The sequence below is a fragment of the Homo sapiens genome, chromosome 2 (genome assembly GCF_000001405.40).
Source record: "Homo sapiens chromosome 2, GRCh38.p14 Primary Assembly".
In the NCBI taxonomy this organism is placed as follows: Eukaryota; Metazoa; Chordata; class Mammalia; order Primates; family Hominidae; genus Homo; species Homo sapiens.
Window position 1 is genome coordinate 230,801,588 of NC_000002.12, and position 20,338 is coordinate 230,821,925.

At 41.5% G+C, this 20,338-nt stretch overlaps 1 protein-coding gene across 5 annotated transcripts in view; it reads left to right on the forward strand.

Moving 5' to 3' along the window:
- Positions 1-19,488, forward strand: part of CAB39 (calcium binding protein 39) — a 108,234-nt gene extending 88,746 nt beyond the window's left edge. For 3 of the 5 annotated variants that reach the window (NM_016289.4, NM_001130849.2, NM_001130850.2), the window contains exons 6-9: positions 8,676-8,735; positions 12,462-12,527; positions 16,167-16,310; positions 16,929-19,488. In NM_016289.4, the coding sequence (NP_057373.1) occupies positions 8,676-8,735; positions 12,462-12,527; positions 16,167-16,310; positions 16,929-17,117 (459 nt within the window). In that variant the 3' untranslated portion in view covers positions 17,118-19,488. Of the gene's footprint in view, positions 1-8,675; positions 8,736-9,051; positions 10,178-12,461; positions 12,528-16,166; positions 16,311-16,928 lie in introns of those variants that run through there. The other 2 variants (XR_007076407.1, XR_007076406.1) reach the window with 2 other exon arrangements.
- Positions 19,489-20,338: the final 850 nt, after the last annotated feature.

Sequence of the window (20,338 nt, forward strand, 5' to 3'; positions counted from 1 at the left end):
TAGGCCAGGCATGGTGGCTCACGCCTGTAATCCCACCACTTTGGGAGGCTGAGGTGGGTGGATCACCTGAGGTCAGGAGTTTGAGACCAGCCTGGCCAACATGATGAAACCCCGTCTCTACTGAAAATACAAAAAATTAGTTGTGGTGACATGCGCCTATAGTCTCAGCTACTCAGGAGGCTGAGGCATAAGAATCCCTTGAACCTGGGAGGCAGAGGTTGCAGTGAGCCGAGATCACTCCACTGCACTCCACCCTGGGCGACGGAGTGGGACTCTGTTTAAAAAAAAAAAAATGCTCTAAATATGTCCAAAATTCATAGCTTGAATAAATGGATGCTCAGATAGTAAACCAGATGGCCAAATATTTGTAAATTTTTTTTTCTTTTTTGAGGAATTAAGGAGATGGAGAGGGGCATTAGAAAGCCAAAAATGTTTCCAATGTTCTAGAATAAAAGAAGGTAGCCTCACCAGACTGTGCCTGTGTAAGGTTCTAGAAAGTATGTCTAAAGAGATGGTTTCTGCCACTCAAAACCACACAACTACATGGAAACTGAACAACCTGCTCCTGAATGACTACTGGGTAAATAACGAAATGAAGGCAGAAATAAATACGTTCTTTGAAACCAATGAGAACAAAGACACAACCTACCGCAATCTCTGGGACACATTTAAAACAGTGTGTAGAGGGAAATTTATAGCACTAAATGCCCACAAGAGAAAGCAGGAAAGATCTAAAATTGACACCCAAATATCACAAAAGAACTAGAGAAGCAAGAGCAAACACATCCAAAAGCTAGCAGAAGGCAAGAAATAACTAAGATCAGAGCAGAACTGAAGGAGATAGAGACACAGAAAACTTTTCAAAAAATCAGTGAATCCAGGAGCTGGTTTTTTGAAAAGATCAACAAAATTGATAGACCGCTAGCAAGACTAATAAAAAAGAAGAGAGAAGAATCAAATAGACGCAATAAAAAATGATAAAGGGGAGATCACCACCGATCCCACAGAAATACAAACTACCATCAGAGAATACCATAAACACCTCTATGCAAATAAACTAGAAAATCTAGAAGAAATGGATAAATTCCTGGACACATACACCTTCCCAAGACTAAACCAGGAAGAAGTTGAATCGCTGAATAGACCAATAACAGGCTCTGAAATTGAGGCAATCATTAAAAGACTGTCAACCAAAAAAACTCCAGGACCAGACGGATTCACAGCCAAATTCTGCCAGAGGTACAAGGAGAAGCTGGTACCATTCCTTCTGAAACTATTCCAATCAACAGAAAAAGAGGGAATCTTCCCTAACTCATTTTATGAGGCCAGCATCATCCTGATACCAAAGCCTGGTAGAGACACAACAAAAAAAAACTTTAGACCAATATCCCTGATGAACATCAATGCGAAAATCCTCAATGAAATACTGGCGAACTGAATCCAGCAGCACATCAAAAAGAGTATCCACCACGATCAAGTGGGCTTCATCCCTTCGATGCAATGCTGGTTCAACATACGAAAATCAATAAACATAATCCGTCACATAAACAGAACCAAAGACAAAAACCATGTGATTATCTCAATAGATGCAGAAAAGGCCTTTGACAAAATTCAACAGCCTTTCGTGCTAAAAACTCTCAATAAACTAGGTATTGATGGAACGTATCTCAAAATAATCAGAGCTATTTATGACAAACCCACAGCCAATATCATACTGAATGGGCAAAAACCGGAAGCATTCCCTTTGAAAAGTTGCACAAGACAGGGATGCCCTCTCTCACCACTCCTATTCAACATAGTGTTGGAAGTTCTGGCCAGGGCAATCAGGCAAGAGAAGGAAATAAAGGGTATTCAATTAGGAAAAGAGGAAGTCAAATTGTCCCTGTTTGCAGATGACATGATTGTATATTTAGAAAACCCCATCATCTCAGCCCAAAATCTCCTTAAGCTGATAAGCAACTTCAGCAAAGTCTCAGGATACAAAATCAAGGTGCAAAAATCACAAGCATTCTTATACACCAATAACAGACAGAGAGCCAAATCATGACTGAATTCCCATTCACAATTGCTACAAAGAGAATAAAATACCTAGGAGTGCAACTTACAAGGGATGTGAAGGACCTCTTCAAGGAGAACTACAAACCACTGCTCAACGAAATAGAAGAGGACACAAACGGAAGAACATTCCATGCTCATGGATAGGAAGAATCAATATCATGAAAATGGCCATACTGCCCAAGGTAATTTATAGATTCAATGCCATTCCCATCAAGCTACCACTGACTTTCTTCACAGAATTGGAAAAATCTACTTTAAAGTTCATATGGAACCAAAAAAGAGCCCGCATTGCCAAGACAATCGTAAGCACAAAGAACAAAGCTGGAGGCATCACACTACCTGACTTCAAACTCTACTACAAGGCTACAGTAACCAAAACAGCATGGCACTGGTACCAAAACAGAGATATAGACCAATGGAACAGAACAGAGGCCTCAGAAATAACACCGCACACCTACAACCATCTGATCTTTGACAAACCTGACAAAAACAAGAAATGGGGGAAAGGATTCCCTATTTAATAAATGGTGCTGGGAAAACTGGCTAGCCATGTGTAGAAAGCTGAAACTGGACACCTTCCTTACACCTTATACAAAACTTAATTCAAGATGGATTAAAGACTTAAATGTTAGACCTAAAACCATAAAAACCCTAGAAGACAACCTAGGCACTACCATTCAGGACATAGGCATGGGCAAGGACTTCATGACTAAAATACCAAAAGCAATGGCAACAAAAGCCAAAATAGATAAATGGGATCTAAATAAAGAGCTTCTGCACAGCAAAAGAAACTACCATCAGAGTGAACAGGCACCCTACAGAATGGGAGAAAATGTTTGCAATCTACCCATCTGACAAAGGGCTAATATCCAGAATCTACAAAGAACTTAAACAAATTTACAAGAAAAAAATCAAACAACCCCATCAAAAAGTGGGCAAATGATATGAACAGACACTTTTCAAAAGAAGACATTTATGCAGCCAACAGACACATGAAAAAATGCTCATCATCTCTGGTCATCAGAGAAATGCAAATCAAAACCACAATGAGATACCATCTCACACCAGTTAGAATGGCGATCATTAAAAAGTCAGGAAACAACAGGTGCTGGAGAGGATGTGGAGAAATAGGGACACTTTTACACTGTTGGTGGGCGTGTAAACTAGTTCAACCATTGTGGAAGACAGTGTGGCGATTCCTGAAGGCTCTAGAAATAGAAATACCATTTGACCCAGTGATCCCATTACTGGGTATATCCCCAAAGGATTACAAATCATACTACTATGAAGACACATGCACACGTATATTTACTGTTGCACTATTCACAATAGCAAAGACTTGGAACCAACCCAAATGTCCATCAGTGACAGACTGGATTGAGAAAATGTGGCACATATACACCATGGAATACTATGCAGCCTTAAAAAAGGATGCATTCGTGTCCTTTGTAGCGACATGGATGAAGCTTGAAACCATCATTCTGAGCAAACTGTTGCAAGGACAGAAAACCAAACACCGCATGTTCTCACTCATAGGTGCGAATTGAACAATGATGAGAACCCTTGGACACAGGGCGGGGAACATCAAACACCGGGGCCTGTCATGGGGTGGCGGGGTGGGGGAGGGATAGCATTAAGAGAAATACCTAATGTAAATGATGGGTTAATGGGTGCAGCAAACCAACATGGCACATGTATACATATGTAACAAACCTGCATGTTGTGTACATGTACCCTAGAACTTAAAGTATAATTAAAAAAAAAATACAAAAAAAAATGGCTTCTGAGCAGTTTGGAAACTGTACCCACAGCCATCATGGATTCACTAAGAGGAAGTTCAGTCATATTGATCTCATAGGTACTGGTGGATTGGGGGAGTAAAAGGGCATGGCTGCCTAGGTTCACACCAGCTCTGCTGCTGATCTCACCTCCAATCTCTTCATCTGTTCAGATTCAGGTAATAACATGACCATATCAGTTGTTGTGCCTTCACACAGTGTCTATGCAGTAAACATTAGCTGTTAGAATTACTCCTTCATCACAACAAGGATATGCTAGATGTTGTATAATTCTACAAATCTGTTTTCATGGAAACAGTAAAACTGAGCTAGATGGAGTTTCAGTATAGTAATTCACAACCAGTTGTATGTTATATCCATATGCTATTGGCACGTAAATTGCCGTCACCCTGCAGAGAAACTTCTAGCGAATTTCCACGGGGCTTTCCCCACCCAGCTGAACGTTTTTATTAGTGACTGAAATAAAAGGTGACAAGGCATACTTATCAAATGTGTAGATGTTAGCCAGGAAGGGAAGGACAGCAGATAACAGAGGATCCTAAAACTTAGAAAGGTCAGAGAGACCAGAATATAGCAGGATGAAGTTAAATACAGATAACTGAGGTCTTCCACTTGAGGACCCAGCTGTATAAAATATGGGATGGAGGAATAACACAATAATAATAAATACAAAATGAGATACTAAGTATAATAATTACTAGGATGTAGATAATTTCATATCATACTCAACCCTAGGAAGGCAGTGTTGTTATTACTGACTTTACAGATGAGGAAAGTGAAGCCTAGAGATTTTGATTGAAATCAGACAATAAATGGGGAAGTCAGACTGCGGACCCAGGCAGGCAGGCTACCAGAGCCCACTTTGAGTAAACAATTTTGAATACCCCCAATACAATTAAGCAGTATGATAATGTGTTCCCCAGAGCTCCATGTGACCACGTAGTATGTAACCTAAGGAGCTAACTGATAGTCTCACTCCACTATGAGCTTATCAGGTAACAACACATAAATGTGTTCCATTCCAGGCGCTACACTTTAAGAGGCACATAGACAAATAGATGACTTTCAGAAGACAGTAGATGGTGAGGGGGACTCAGAACCCTGTCATTCGAGGAGTGGTTAAAGGAACTGGAAGTATTTAGCCTGGAGAAGAGAAGCCTCGGTAGGGACCTGCCATGAGAGCACTACTTGTATTTGAAGTGGGGTCCCATAGAAAATGGACAAAACATGGATCTGTCAGCTCTGATGGTTCCTGGCATAGTATTTGGGGATAGGTCTGACCCTAGCACAGGGAGAACTTTCTCACTGTAAGAACTCCAGAGGTGAACCACACAACTGGAAAAATTGAGTTTCTTGTCCTTAGACATAATCAAACATCAAGTAGGAAATGGGGCCAAATGGTTTGCCAAGATGAATGTGAAAATAAGCCCCCTGGGTTAGCAGGATTTCTTCAGGGATCCCAGGGCTGTCTTAGTCACATGATGTTTCAGCCCAAACTCAAGCTTTTAGGAAGCTTTTAAATTCAGCCTACCCTAAAAGTTGGCTGCTTAGTCTGCTGGACTTGGGAAATGATCCCTAGTCTTTCTTCCATTATATGAGGGCCTGGCATAGACTGGAATTCAGATAGATGGAAGATGAGGAATCCTTTTATTCTCCCCTCTGCTGACTGACCTAGCAACTCTGCTGGTCTGGGGTCACATGCACCCTAAACTTTGCAGGTCTGCATGCCCTTTGCCCATTATGTTCTATTCTGTTGGTCTACACACACCCCCCTCCCACCCACACTCACCCCAGTTTGAGCTGTCCGAAGTTTTTGGCTGCAGTCACTAGGCTAAGGTTCCTTCTCATCTCTCAGTAGATAGAGGCTCTGCTGATTGTCCTCATCTCCTCCTTTTCCCAGCTTAGTATTCACCTTTTTCTCTGAGCTGGCGCTTAACAGTTGCTCTTTTCCTACTAGTGTTTTACCCCCCCAACCCCCCACCCCAGGCCTTTGAATGACCCTTTTTAACAAAGGGTTTTCATCCTGTTACGTACTGGGTCCACCTGCTCCTTGGGCAGACTCTGAGTGCCCCTTTCAATCGCTCTTACCCCAAAGCCATTGAGATTTGATTTCTGGTTGGCAGCAGTTTCCTGAGTTTCCAGATGGTAACACATAGAATCTCCCCTACATGGGAAGATGTTAGAGGTCCCCCTTTGTGTGGCCCATCTGTGAGCCTCTGGCTGCTTTTGAGATACCTTACAGAGTGAATACTCGCTTCTCTCAAACCTTCAGTAAAAATCTGTTGTGCAACATGTTAACACCTAGAGGGCCTTTGCTTTATAGAGTAGATACTTTGTTCCTGCCTGTTCCTAAGAATCCAACCTCAGTTGAGAGCCAGTGTCTCTCAGGACCCTCCTGCTTGGCACTCTCTTCGTGAGGTTATGACAGAACAGTGAGCAGCAAGTTCCTTCTGCTGTACTTCCTCACACTGGCCTCCAGAACGATTTAGTCGCAAAAAGTTAGAAGCAACACTGTCTGACAGGGATCCTGACACTTGAATTCCTAAGTTAACATATTCATTTGTTATTCACCAAGATTGTCAGTGCCTGCTCTGTGCCAGGCACTTTTTTTCTTTTCTTTTCTTTTCTTTTCTTTTTTTTTTTAATTTTTTTTATTTTTGAGGTGAAGTTTCACTATTGTTGCCCAGGCTGGAGTGCAGTGGTGCGATTTCAGCTCAGTGCAACTTCCACCTCCTGGGTTCAAGCGATTCTCCTGCCTCAGCCTCCTGAGTAGCTGGGATTACAGGCATGCATCACCACACCCAGCTAGGTTTTTGTATTTAGTAGAGACAGGGTTTCACCATGTTAGACTGGTCTCGAACTCCTGACCTCAGGTGATCCACCCACCTCGGCCAGGCACTATTCTTTAGGGGTGGGGGATTCAGCAGTGAACCCTACAGACAAAACTTGCCCTGTGGCACCTCCATAGCGGGACATCAGCCATAAACACACCACAATAGCATGTTAAATGGTGCTGTCCGTACTTGATAACATTCCCCTTCAGGTCCTCATGTTCCTCTCTCTGCATCTGTGACCCCATGGACCACGGTACGAAGATAATGGAAATTCTCTTACCACTTTCTTCTTCTCCTTCCCCTGGAGGGGAAACGTTGTAGCACTTCTTGCCAAACTCTTGAGTGTACTCAGAATAAACTTCAGGTTTTTAATATGGCCTGTTGAATCCTCAAGGAGGATTTGGGAAAAATTGGGTAGGTCCTTCCTGGCCATCCCTGTTATGATCAGGAAATATAACACATACCCTATCCAGCAGTTTGAACAACTGTAAATCTTTGGGGTGGGGTTAGAAACCTTCTCAAAAGCATACTTTGAAGATTGCTGAATGTGATGTTTTTCCAGACATGTTCCCTGATTTTATTGGTTCATTCATTGATTTATTAAATATTAAGCACTTACTATGCACTGGGCACTGCATAGGTGCTGGGGATTCAAAGGTTAATGAAAACAGACACGATCCTGGTATTTATGGAACTTACAGTGTAGCATAAGAGAGACTTGAATCAAATAATCCCACAAACCAGTGTAGAGTCACAGCTATGTCCAGTGCTTTTGTGCTGGTGACCAATCAGGAGGAGTTGAGGTCCGAAAGACGAACAGTAGGTAACCACGCAGTGGGGAAAGCCTGTACAGAGGCCCTTTCGGGAAGGGCTTTCACAGAAAGTAGGTGACAAAAGAGCTCCCTGTGCAGTCTAGGACCTGACATCTGGAGTGAGCTGTGGCACTTCCCTCGTTTGCTTGACCATGGGACATTTCTTAAAGCGTTTCTCAGAACCAGTGTTTCATTTCAGCATACTTCAAGAAACACTAGTTCTTTGTAACCTGGGCAACCTTCAAACATAAACAGGAACGAAAACTAGGAAAGGTGGTTGGGAGAAAGGCGATGATTGGCGCTATCTTCTTTAGCAGTGGTACGAAGGACCTCAATCCATTAGTTTACCAGCTACTGGCCAGGCCTTCCTGCTGTCACTTGTTCCCATTCTCTTTCCCACCCAGTGAGACCAAGGCTAGTCCTTTGCTAACTTCTAGGTCCTTGAAGGCAGGGATCATATCTTTTTGTCTTTGAAGCCCTAGCACCTAGAGTTTTACCTGGCACTTAGTAAATATTTCTGAATGAATGATCCTTGGGAAAGCTATAGGGTGAGGCATAGGGTTCTGTTTCATGGTAATACAAAATCAGACTGGAGGTTCACAGTCGTTGTTAATTCTACGTTATCGTACCAACATTCTGCTTACCTAAAACACACTCTACCTCTAAAAAATTTGCGTTAGCTATGAACCTGAATGTGATTGAACTTAGGAGGAAGAAAATAGAGCCTCTAATCCTTTTTCTAATAAAAGAAATTTCCTCTTTCTCCACCGGGAGCGCTAAGTGGGCGTGGAATTGTTTGACAGTTTACCACTACTGTTAGCTTTGTTTTTGTGTTTTTGTTTTTAAATAACCAGCCCACTTGGGGAGTGTTAACTTTAATTTCACTACAATTCCTTATTCTTTTCCTTTAGTTTATATTTCCATTGCCTTTATCATTTTTTCTAAGAGCTGTAGATCCATGACTCATCATAATCATTAAAATTGCAGTTCCAAATAATTAATGATTTTATTTTGCTCTTATAGAATCAGTGTTTTAATACAATTCATGCTAAAATGTTAAGTATGGTGATTTTTAACAACAGTTTTTATTAGGTAAAATGGTGTGGAATTTAGGATTCGCTTTTTTGAAAACTTGGAGAACAACTGTAAACAATTTTTTTTTCTTTTTGTAGGATTTACTTACAAGACATAAATTGCTCAGTGCAGAATTTTTGGAACAGCATTATGATAGAGTAAGTATATGAAATACTATTTTTAAATAATAAATTGTAACTTTTGTTACCAGAAATGAAAGACTTACATTAGGTTTTTGTACTAGAATATTTATTTTGCATATGTAATGTTTATAAATGGTGCCGTAGTTATTTCTCTACTTAAACAACTTATAGAATATTACTTGGTCAGAAGTAGATCTTTTTGATTGACATACTGCCCTTTGAAGCTTTTATTGCTTTAAAAGAGGAAAATAGAGCATTTTGCTGCTAAAATGATAGTAAAGATAGTAGGAAAATTATCTGACTTTTTAACTTTTCCTTCCTTTTCCATCAGTTGCCCCACATTTCTGCTGCATACAAATAGAGAGAAAGGGAGGCAGCAGCTGATAGGATGAGAGCAGCACTGGCCAGAGGGGACGGGAGCCCGGCTCTGCTCCTGCTCTACTGCTCACTCCTTTGTGGCCATGGCCAAGGCAGTTAACCGCTTGGGGACTTAGAAGTCCGTCCTTATTGTAAAATGAGGACATTGGACTAGCTTGTCGGTAAGGTCCCTTCCAGCACTGAGTCAATGTCAGATGTTCCTGGTAATAGTGTCCCCCAGAGATTTGTCAATGATTTCCAGAGTGCTTGATAGCTTGATTTCCCTAGACCCGCACAACTGCCTCTAGGGCTGCCATGTGAAATGATCTCTTCCACCACTGCCAGTTCTGCCAGCCTCAGGAGGATCTTCCACAATACCCACAAGCACTGTTGTGATGTACTGGTTTAACTACACATCGTCGAAGATTCTGATAGGTACCCGTAAAGAGGTTAGAAGAATGACAATCCACTTAAAACTCCTGTCTATCCTGCAAAATTTGGTTTAGATTTTAATTTTTCCACTACTCATTTAAATTTTTGAAATCCTGAGTATTATTAATACTTCATTATTCACTTTGCTGTTCAAATACATTCTGAGATTCTTAGAGGCAAAAATCTATGCTTGCTTGTTCTTTTGTGGGTTTTTTTCCCTGTCTTTTCCCCCTGCCCTCCACTCCCAGTAAGAACATAACACAACACTGAGCACACAAGTCCTTCATAAGTAGCCTCATAAATGGCTTAAAAATTGCTGGTCCTTTATTTTTATTTCAGCTCATGTGTATTTGGATATGGGTGCGTTTCTTGTATGTTCATTGCTTTAAAATGGCAGTTCTGTCATCATCAGGGCCTTTTTACAGTAGATAGAAGCATGGACTTGAGCCTTGGACTGCCTGGATTCTGGCTGCAAGTCTCAGCCCTACCATGGGCTGGTAGGACTTCAGCAACTGCCTTCATGCACCCTCTGTGCCTTCAGGATCTTCCACCCTGAAGAAAGCTCTTCATATAGTACCTGTCTACTGGGATCATCATGAGGATTAGATAAGAACGTGTATGTGACGTGCATGGCACAGTGCCTGGAACACAGGAAGCACTTAATAAACGTTAGTTCATTTATCATCACCACAAAGATTTTTCAACATACTAGTAATTTAAGGCCTACCAAAGACACAGACTAGCTGATTTCCAAGACATTTGCTACAGTGAAATCTGTTTAATCTTGCAGTAAAATAGCTTCCTACATGTTGTTAATAGATGACATCAGTTAACAGGATTTTAGAAGAACATATGTGAGGCAACAAATCTATAGAAAGCAGTCAGATCTTATAGAGGGAGAAGCAGTGGGGGATGTGGGTAATTTAAAGCCACAGGTGAGGTTATTACACCAAAATAACATGCTCTAAATTCTGATCCAGTTTGGCTCTGAGCTTTCTAATAACCAAAGCGTAGAAAGAAATAAAACAATTAAAAGATGACAGTATTTGTAGAGTAAAATTCATGCTGGCTGCTCAAAAGAAACGTAGCCTTTCCTAGCACTGGGACCTGAAACCGGTTTCTCTCCTTGGCGTTCTTAAAGGAGAGTCAAGTTACAGTATCATGTAGTGGACAGTCATTGCCGTGGCATTGCAGTAAATAAAATGCTCAACTCCGATGCAGTTCCCTGAAAGCAAGTCTTTGAGGAACCCAGAAGTGGGTGGGAGGACAGGTATCTAGGTTTGTTACTTACTCTTTGTCTGTCCTAATACAGAGAAGAAAAAATCTAACATAACCTGAAGGAAACAGGGGCCACATACATACTTTTCAGGCAGTTCTCCATGAAAAGTTTCTTGCAACCAAGCTTATCCAAAGATGCAGCAGAAAATCTTAACTTGCATTTTCTGTATATATAAGAACTTGAGATGTATATATTTTGTTACTGATTAAAAGCAGGTCCAGTTGTTTTGATCATCAGTTTGATGATAATTTGAGAAGGTAGACTTAACAGCTTTTTCTGAAAAGAGAGAAATCTAACTCAAATACATACCAAATAGATGGCCAGCTCACCTCTGCCAAGAGGCAGGCAGAAGAAATAATGTATAATTCTGTGTTAGCTCTAAACCAAGAAGGCCAGAAAGCAAATTTTTGAGGCTTTGTAAGCCATGTGGTCTCTGTTGACTCTCCTGTCTGTTGTTCTATGAAAGCAGCTGTAAATAATACATAAACTTTTCAGTGAATTCATGTTCAGTAAACAAACGAGCATGGGATGTGTTCCAGAAAAACTTTTCACAAACAGGCAGCAGGCCATAGTTTGCCATCCCTTGCTCTAGACCACAGATGAATGGCTAATGAGGACCCATCATAAAGCATGGACACCAGTAGTTCTCTCATGGACAGATGACAAAGCAGGCATCCCCCGGCACTCGCGATGACCAAAGGAAAGTCTCAGGAAAGCACGAAGATCCAACAGTCATACTAGTGCTGCAGACTTTCAGAATGTTTTAAACCTATCTGTGGTTTAAACAGACAGACAAAAAATAAAATCTTAAGGCTAACTGGCCTTGTCTACTAGGTTTTTGAAGGATAGCCTTGGCCCCCAAGTGCCTGTCATTTCGGTTTTGTAACTCTGCTTTAATGGGCTTCTAGCCTTCACCATCCAGCAGTGCCACTCTTGTCAGTGACCGCTGTTTTGAAGGTCTAGTGGACCTGTCAGTTCTTAAATTTGTGGCATTTTGTTCTCCCCGGGGCTTCATTCATACTATGTCCTTCCTTTTTTATCTGCCCAGATTCTCTTTTCTCCCCTCCATTTCTGAGTGAAATCCCTCCCATCCGACAGGTCTGAGACTAAGCCCCACCTTCGTTGTCGGCCTGGTTAACACAATGCTGAATTTCTCCTCTCTTAATTTCTATTCCGAATTACTTTTTCTCTTTGCCTGATACATTGAAAGAGCAGATAACTTTTCTCTTTGTGGTTGTGCTTTGAACAAATTGAATTCTTGTTTATATAAAATACGAGTTTTTCAATCTAACATCAAGATATGAGAGCAGACTCAACAAGCAAAAGTGTGAGGGGTATGGGAGTTAGGTTTTGTGCATAGGGAGCTTGGGGTGACAGAGAGGCCTGGATTTAAGCTCTGTCTGCAGGCCTGGCTGGAACTGGGAAGGGGCTCAGTCCCAGGAGCCCTCTTCATGGAAGGGATTGGTGGGATCACCTGAGAGTCTCAGAGCAAACATGTCAGAGGAAGACATGAAAGAGAGTGGCAGGGGAGCCAGGGCAGCTGTTGGCCTTCATGGTGTGAGAAATGTGTCCTTAAGCTAATTTACAATGTTACCTACCAGTCTTTTTTTTTTTTTTTTTTTTTTTTTTTTTTTTTTGGCAATAACCCTGATTTATGTTCTCTTATCTTTTAGTTTTTCAGTGAATATGAGAAGTTACTTCATTCAGAAAATTATGTGACAAAAAGACAGTCACTGAAGGTATGACAGACCATTTTGTATAGCTTATTTCTCTGTACCTTGTGTTTGAAATGTGGATTTGGGGAAAGGGAGATGTGCAGGATGGGTCATAGACCTTTGGGGGAAATAAATACCTTTGCCGAGGGTCAAGATTTTTGCGGAAAGGAATGGAGTTGGACAGTGATCCATGTGGAGCACTTTCCTGCTTCCTAGTAAGGTGGAGACACAGAAAGGGAATGAACGGGAGTTTGAAGAAGACTTCATCTCCTAGCAGTGCATTCTTTGCGATTTTGAGCCATAGTCATATCAGCTAGATGAAGGCACTCCAGGTGCTGTGCTCCTGGGCTGTGGCCTGGGTGGCACAGGCAGGTGTGTGAGGGTGGAGGGAGGCGATGTGCGTGTGAGGCTGTGGACCGTAGACAGGCTTGGCTGCTTTGTATCAAAGCAGGATATCCTTTGCAAGTTAGAATGTTAAATTTAAGATTTAAACTGTAGAACAAGGGTTGGCAAACTACAACCCATGGGCTAAATCCAGCCAGCTGCCTGTGTTTGTAAGTAAAGTTTTACTGGAATAAAGACGTGCTCATTTATTTACATATTGTCTGTGGCTGTTTTGAGCTCCAGCAGCAGAATTAAGTAGATGCCTCAGAGACCCTATGTTCTGCAAAGTCTAAAATATTTACTGTTTGGCCCTTGATAGTTTGCTGACCCCTGCTGTAGAAAGTTCTTATAGCAGTTAAGAAGTGCATACCCTCCACTCTGTCAGTAAGCAGTCCCAACAGGAGATATAGATGAAATCACAAAGGATTTGAGGGGAAAATCATAATTCCATTCAGTTTTTTGCCAGGTCCATTTAAAATTTGACTCTGCCCAGAGTTCTTCCCCTCATGGGTGTCTGGACCGATAATGACCAAGATTCCATCCACTCATCCCCTTCCTACCGTGGGGAAATCTCCCTTGAAGACCTTATCTTTCTGTGGAAAAGACTAAAGGACACTAGGAGCATCTGGAATACTTTGTGTCCTTTGATAGGAACACTCCACCGTCCACATTTTCAATCAGCACTTTCTTTCAGAACAGCATATGCCTTTTTTCCGTGTAAGGCTGTAATTCCTGCAGCAGGGCATCCGTGACAGCCACAGCTGGGGAACAGGCACAGTCCAGCCAGGCCCCTTGCTTTCCATTCATTGCTGTTGCTTGGGCCCCACCTTCCCTGGCTTAGAGGATCATTTGCTGTCCTTTCATCTTTGGGGGGTTGGACAGAACTTCCTGGCAGCTGTGGGAGGAGTTTCTCCTCCCTGGACATCAGTGTGTGAGAGAGTGGAGGTTCCTGGGGCCTCTCCTGCTCTGTGATCCTCAAAGGGCTGAGGTATACTACTCTTGCCAGCAGTTATACAGATGCACACAGTTCACTGGAGTCAGTATCTTCTAAGGCCACAAAGGCCAGACAGGATAGCCTAGGTTAGTAGCTTCTAGGGCCATTGTGGGAGGAAGCTGGGGCCGGGGGTGCAGGGTGGAGGTTATTGGCAAATCCATAAACTTTGACCAAATGTTGGATTCTTGGGCTGTTTGGATAAGGAGAAAGGCCTTCAAGACCCTTCTGCCATTCAGAATTACCAACATGAAAAGAAAGGCTGAGACCACCATTTCCAAGCCCTTAGGAATGGATATAAAGCAAGTTGCTGGCTCCTGCAGTTTATGTTAGCGGTGGGCCTGTGAGTGCCCCATGAACACATGGAGCGGCTTCAGCACCAGCCGTACTTTAAAGATGGATTTTAATTTGTACTCTCTTTTTCGTAGCCACATTGGCATTTATTTATTCCCATATTTATGTCGCCAGCAAATTTATATTCCCTATGCAAGACTCCCAAGTTTTTTAGTAAAGTATTACATGTTTGGGCTGAGTATGGTGGCTCACGCCTGTAATCCCAGCACTTTGGGAGGCCAAGGTGGGTGGATGGATGGAGGTCAGGAGTTCAAGACCAGCCTGGCCAACATGGTGAAACCCTGTCTCTAGCCCCAAAAATTAATTAGCCAGGTGTGGTGGCACAAGCCTGTAGTCCCAGCTACTTGGGAGGCTGAGGCATGAGAATCACTTGAGCTCGGGAGGTGGAGGTTGCAGTGAGCCAAGATTGTGCCACTGCACTCCAGCCTTTGTGACAGAGTGAGACTATCTCAAAAAATAAAAAAAGAATTACATATTTGAAGTCATCTTCCTTCAGATTTTCTTTGGTTTCTGTGATAGAAAAAGAACACGAAAGCTATAAATCACATAATACTAACTTTTCAGTCTTTGTAAGATACTGGTTGCTTCTCACCGTAAGAATAGATTTTGTGATTCACATTGATATGAAGCCTACTCCTTTCAGTTTTTCCTATGAGTTCCTTATAAAGCCTAAGTAAAATAGATTTGTTTTCTTGTACATCAGCTCATTTTTTATTTAATATGATGACAAGTTACTTATCCAGAGATCAGTTACCTGGAAACTTCAAGTATCTAGAACATAGCCAGAAACCCAGAAAGGAAGCAACAAAAGCAATTAAAGCAAAGCCACAGAGCCGCTATTTGCGCCTTTTCTTCCCTTAGCCCTCACTCACTCACATCTCTGCAGATACAGGCCTGATACGTGCTTTGCACACTGATGCTCGTTTCTCACTGCACTCTCCTGAGAGAGAGGCACTGTTCCATTATACAGATGATGGAACCGAGACACAGAGGAGTTCAGTAACGTGCTCAAGATTACAGAGCTCACAAGAAGTAGGGAGCCAGGATTGGAACCCAGGCAGGCTGGCACCAGGGACCAAGCTCTCCACAGCTCTGCCACCGCCCACAAGGACCGCAGCTTGGCACCTGCCCCACTGCCGGCTCTGCACACTCAGCCTTGGCCAGGTTGTTGGCATGTTGACAACCTGAAGAAGTGACTGCTGGTTTTAGGAAAGAGTAAGCCGTGACAGTTTAAAAGTTATGAGTTTATATGATATAACCAACTCTCCAGAAATTAGTAAACCCTTGAAGTAAACAGATGTTTTTTTAGCATTAATTGGTATAATTAGTGATGGTGAGGGGTCAGTAAGAAAACACTGGATTATCTTCAGGAGACCTAAGAAGGAGCAGAAAAATACTCACTTGTGTAAACCTTTCTGAATTAGCTGTGATAAAACGATAACTGTGGCATGTGCAGGGTACACAAATGGAAAACTTTGGACACAAAACCCTTTATCTTGGAAAGTCCCGCTAAATAAAATTTAAAAATAGTTGTTTTAAATTAAGCTAAGGTTTGTGGTTAGTTAACAGGAATAATCAATAACTTTTGACCATTTTCTTGAATAGTTTCTTTTTAGTGAGCTAACACAAATGCACGCTTAAAGGGGAGGCTTTGAGAGTCTCCCACTGGGGCCAAGGGGGCATCTTGAACATCCTCTGCAGAGAGAAGCGTCAGGCCTCCCGTAGACTTCATCTCTCAGGGAAAGGGAGGAAGGCATTCAGGTGGCAGAGAGAAGGCCCTTCGTAGCTTTTAGGTTGTAATTCAGTTCAGTTCTTCGGTCTTTTGAGTGCCTACTAATACTCTATACTTGATGATTATAAAATAAATTGTTTTTTTAAACTTTGATTTTTCTTTAAGTTTTAATAACAAGGTAATTGTTTAAATGTCTTCTCAGCTTCTCGGTGAACTACTACTAGATAGACACAACTTCACAATTATGACAAAATACATCAGTAAACCTGAGAACCTCAAATTAATGATGAACCTGCTGCGAGACAAAAGTCGCAACATCCAGTTTGAGGCCTTTCACGTTTTTAAGGTAGAGTACTAGAAGCATCAGTGATACTGTCCACTGGAATTGTTCGTCGTCTTTCATTCGCAAATAACGGAAATTATTAGCCTCACTCTGGTAATCCAGGTGACTTAATTAAATTCAGTCACTTTTCATATTTGTGTGCTATGACTTTTAAACAGAAAGGTAGACCTGGAAACGGGTTACTGTTTGGATCTGGGAACGAGAAGGTTTGTTCATAGAAGAGTGTCATTTATCTTTGGCCTAGAAGATTAGTAACTGCAAAACAAAAGCATTTCTTAATGCTTTCTGTGGAGGTTTCATTCTTAAAATCCCATCTGACCTCTTGTGCTGAGAAATAATTTCTGCCCATTTTATTCTAAAATCAAAGTCTGTATTTAATACTAAACACTGTGTTGCAGGGCTGGCAGAATGAGTTTATCAGTCGTATTTGTGTTAAAACATGTAATTATTATTTTTTTTTCCAAATTGTAAAATAACGCCTTCTAAAGCAAAACCTAATGACCCTGACTTCAGCGCCATCCCAGGAGAGCACAGCTCTGCTTTTCTGCACTGTGGCCGCAGCTCAGGTGTGGCTGCGTTTTGTCCTTTCTCTGTGCCTCATGTGCGTTTCTCTCCACGCAGGTGTTTGTAGCCAATCCTAACAAGACGCAGCCCATCCTAGACATCCTCCTCAAGAACCAGGCCAAACTCATAGAGTTCCTCAGCAAGTTTCAGAACGACAGGACGGAGGATGAGCAGTTTAACGACGAGAAGACCTATTTAGTTAAACAGATCAGGGATTTGAAGAGACCAGCTCAGCAAGAAGCTTAATCTCCAATAAACATCTATGTTAAATCCAAATTCAGCATTTGCTGTTAGCTATTCAGCATCAGGCACTCTTATTGATTCATGAGGAACATTACTGCTAATCTGCTGTTAAGTGAACGGTTTTTCATTTTACCCTTTTGTTTTTCAGTCCAGGTTGGAGATCGTAGCTGCTGCTGCTTGCACACTAGGGCACATGTGGGCTTTCTCTTGATCTTTGTGTCATTTCAGAATTCAAAGACTGTGCTACGGGAGTTCTGAACATGGCTGGGTTCATGAAGGCAAATGTATGGATGAGAGTGTGGTTTAGGAAAGAGGGCACTGATATCAGATTAGACCTATGTGTTTGCACCCATCTTTGTTGGCGATCTGAGTGCAGTGTGGCAAGTGCACACCTGGCATCCCTGCGTCAGATCGCGCACCTTCAGGTCGCGCACCTTCGCTGAAGGAAGATGACGCAGAGCTTTATCTGAAATCAGAGGGGAGCTATCCAAAATGGGAGTTTGGGGGCAGCTAAAGTTGACATGCGAATAAATTGATACTGAAACTTAGCAACTTCTTAAAAGTGTAAAGAAGCCTCATAAGATCATAAGGAAAATGTATATATGCTTTTCACAGCTTTCTAGAATTTTTTGACATTTGATTTTCTTGAGACTTGTAAACCTGGATATGTTGAAGGGTATTTGTTAATTTTACTTTTCAAAGATACTTTAAAACAGTAGAGCTAGCAATGACACCTTGCATTTCATTTCAACACTGCTTCAAGGTTTCTTTTGTATATAATTCTTAGAATGCTCATTTCTTTTAAATGGTTTAATTTGTACAGCAGAGGAATGTTATTGTAGTAGTATGTAACTATTACCTAATACTGAGTTTTTGCAAAAAACAATGAATGCTCATATGTAATTGAAATACTTCAGATCACATGAAAATGCTGATTTAACATTTAAGTATCACAGCATTAAAAGAAAAAGAAAGTAAACCAGTCCTTTGTATTCAGTTACCTAATGGGGTGCCATCAATAAGCTGCGATACAGCCCTGGAGCTCAGTCAGCCACACCTTCCTGCATCCTATTGGCCTTATTCATTTTAAATGAGTTAATGAATCTGCCAGATCTGTGAATGATAGAGATTATGCTAAATTAATGCTGATTCTTTGTGTGTGTGGGAAATCTCTGTAGAGCACCTTTTCTTTCTTAGACTAAGTAACCCAGTACAATAGTTGTGAACTGAATAATTAAAACTTTGGCTTCTCTTAGGAAAAGACGACTTCCTAGTCATAGGTGTCCTATGGGGAAATTTATTTTTTTTAATGTCCTGTTCCTTAATGCTGCAAATTATCAGTATTTATAAAGTAACTGATTTTGCACCACTTTTTTGTTACTGTGACCACGGCAGAACAATGTCTTCTAGACTATATCTATGTAAAGTTATTAGAATGGTATCTGTTCATTTTAGTGATATGAAGATCACAACTAACAACTGACAAATCAGAGTTTGCCAGTTCAAATTCAGCATGGCTGCAGCTGATTAAGAAATTGATATGATTATTCTTTGCTAGCCTCTCTTACTAATGGAATTATATACTGGCCAGTAAAATGGGCCTCCCAATTGCTGTTTCAGCAGGTTTTAAACCTTCAGGAACACCAGTTAGGAAAATAGCTCCAGAAAATATAGATATATTTTATTTTTATTAAAATGGCAGTCTACATCATAATTGGCATTTCTCAAGACTGTCTTTACCAGAATCTGTGTGAAATAAGGCAATCTAGTCTCCTTGAAAAAAAAATCTCTTGGATGTTTAGGAAGGAAGACTTGGCCGTGATGTGGTGTCCTGGCTTTGTGGTGTAGTGCTGTGTGTATGGAGTTAGTGTAAAAACATGGATTACACCAAGTGGAAGAAACGTCTTCTTGCCAAGCTCATTCTTAGAACTTACACATCTAGAACAGCTTCCACTTTGGCAGTGAGGTCGTAGCCTTTTAGGTGGAAGAAGTGAGGGTGCAGCGTGTCAGACACAACATTCATGTTACTCTTACATTGGAATCTGAAGGTAGTTCAGACTTCGTGGGTTTTGTTTTTAAGCAAAACAATGTGAAAACATTTAAGTTTGAAATGTTGCATTTGAAGTTATGATCATTTAATATATTCATATTACCAAGACTATTATACTGGAAGTGGTTTTTGTGTTATAAAGGTTTAATTTTACATAAGGCAGTTACTTAATGTGATTTTTAACCCTTAAAAAAGTGGAGATGTATACATTTGTTAACAATGCCATGAAAGCATTTTCTTTCTCCTAAGGAAAAGTGAATTTCTTATCAGAATATCTGGCTGGCCCTGTAATTTAAATTAAAATAAAATTTTGGAGAAACAGCATTGTCTGTCTTTATGATGTGTTATAGACAGTTGCATTTGTGTTACTGTGAACAGCTTCATCAGGAGACACACAAGCCCGAATTTTATCACCAACTGAAAGTGGAGGGACAGTTAACACCCATTCCTGTCTGCCTTTTTCCCTGTTCAGGGGCTTCACTTCCCCCCCACCGCCCCCGTGCTCATGTTTTCCTTACCCTTCCTGAGTAAAATCACACCTTTTAATGGTACCATTTCTTAGACCCTAACGTTTGAGGAGTAGATCCTCTCTTGCGCTGTTAGCAACACCGCGAGGCTAAACTAGAACACTCGGCCCGGAGTATTCACAGGTTACTGATGTGAAATGATCATGAAGGCGAGGGGACCGTGGAAGCAGGCACAAGAACTCTGGCACCGTAAAGAATGTCCCTCGTCTGCCTTCCAGGGTGCCTCGTAATCCTTAGTTCACAGCCCTGCCCTCGACTTTAACCCCTGTCAGTAAATGAAATCTTATTCTCTGGAGTGAAGGCAAGGGACATGCTCTTGCCAAAAACACTTCATCCGAATAACAATGTCCTATTTGTTATTTCTGTCAAGTAGTTCAGTCTACTTGTACGTTGTAGTTCCCCAAAGGTGACAAGGGCCCATTAAGTCATAACTTGTGACTTGGCCACTTATAAGGATCACCAGGCTGAGGACTGGATTCACGCTTCAGCTCAAATTCCACTTCCTACCACAATCCCCCATCAAATGCCCTCCTCCCCTTGCCAAAGAAGCTCCAGAACGTTGCACTTCAGGCAGCTCAGGAGTAGTGCAGTTCTCACCCAGCCTTCCTAGTTAGGCTCCAACAAGGTCCTGATCGGGAAGTGCTCTG